This window comes from Homo sapiens, chromosome 12, assembly GCF_000001405.40.
Source record: "Homo sapiens chromosome 12, GRCh38.p14 Primary Assembly".
Lineage (NCBI taxonomy): Eukaryota > Metazoa > Chordata > Mammalia > Primates > Hominidae > Homo > Homo sapiens.
Window position 1 is genome coordinate 60,981,119 of NC_000012.12, and position 1,592 is coordinate 60,982,710.

The window sequence follows — 1,592 nt, forward strand, 5'->3', positions numbered from 1 at the left end:
AAGAAGATACCAGTATATGCTGTATCAATGCTTAATATTTTGCAAAACAAAGATATCTCATAGTTTTCATTGGGATTTGAAAATAACTGATTTCGAAAGAGGAATTAAATATCCATATGAAGCTGTCCCATTATGTTTTAGGATTATGTGTTTCCTACTTGTTAATATTAAAGAATATAATTTATCTGAGTTAAACAACATACTTGTTTATGGTAACAAAATCTGAAGCTAAATAAAAGTAACAAAAATGGCAATTTTTAAATCCTTAATAAGTAGTTGCTACTGTTAAGAATATTTTTACAATCAAGGCTTTGTAAAGACAGCAAAGTCTATACTCTCATTTAGTGATGAGGGAGACCAGAATATGCCACCCCAAAATATGCTTCTTTGGCATGAGGATTGTTTTGAGCTGAAATAAATTCAGGAGTAGCATATGCAGGAAGGCTCTTGGCACTCAATCTATTTGCTTAACAGCAGGTCATAGATTAACAATGACAAAAAGTATCACCCCTACCTTGCACCAAGGAAGAGAAAGGATGATCTCTGAAGACACGTTTAAACCTTTATCAGCCTAGAGACCACATCAGTGGAATCTACTTAATGAGATTTGCTAACTTATCTGCCATTTGTTTGCGTTCTCCCAGTTTGCCACCCCTAGAGACTTAAAGCTCTTTTTTTGGGGGGGGTCTTGTCTTTGTCAGTTGTCACTGTAAACTGAAATGTAAAGCCACCTCTCTGAGAATTACTCATTCCCTGGTTATTTTCCATGTAGACTATATGAACCATATGTATTAATAATATTCTGTTTGTTCTTCTCTTGTTAATCTGTCTTTTGTTCCAGGGGTCCATTGTAAGAATTTTTGAGGGTTGAGGAAAAAATTATCTTTCCTCTCCTACAGGGAAAACTTGCACTTTTTTCGTACTTTTCTTTTTTATTCTCTCATAACTGACATATTCCTTTTTGGCCTCTGATAAATATCCTGCAATATCTTATTGGTTTCTTTTCCAAATTGCCATATAATTGTTGAACGCTGGCTCACCAAACATCATCAAATATCCTGTCGTTAAGATAAAGTTGAGCTAATTGCTTATAAGGGTAAAGGAGAACACCACTTCTGGGAAGCTTTGGCAGTGTCTGGAAGGGAAAAAGACAAGGTCTGAATTTACTGAGAGGTGGAAGCTTGGCTTAAGGAGGATCTCTCAATGTGAAGAGAAGGGTGGACTTGATTGGGCAGTCAGTGCAGTCAACTATGATCAACAACGGGATCAGTGAAAACTGCAAGATGAGTATTTTGAGGTGAGAGATTCAAAAGATTTTAGGGCATGACCTGTCTGATTATGCATTTGTCAACTTAATAAAGACAAAGTTCATAAATTTGGAAAGGAGAGCTTTATTTCTCATGTAGAGTTGCAGCCTGCATGGTGGCTATTGTGATAGGCTGGGAAGCATAACCTCTGGGTGGAAGCCAGAAACAGGCACTTCAGGCATGGAAAGATAAGATGGGAATTGATGCTGAATGGCGTGGCTGAGTATAAGCATTCAATAAGCTATAAGAGGAGTCATAATTTTTAGTGAAAGGAGAAACATGAAG

General features: G+C 36.7%; 1 annotated feature.

Moving 5' to 3' along the window:
• Window positions 261–779: an enhancer, noted in NCBI's record as "NANOG hESC enhancer chr12:61375160-61375678 (GRCh37/hg19 assembly coordinates)". NCBI's record gives its function as "activates a minimal SCP1, AML or CMV promoter by ChIP-STARR-seq in naive H9 embryonic stem cells {active_cell/tissue: H9 hESC(naive)}" and the evidence as "EXISTENCE:reporter gene assay evidence [ECO:0000049][PMID:30033119]".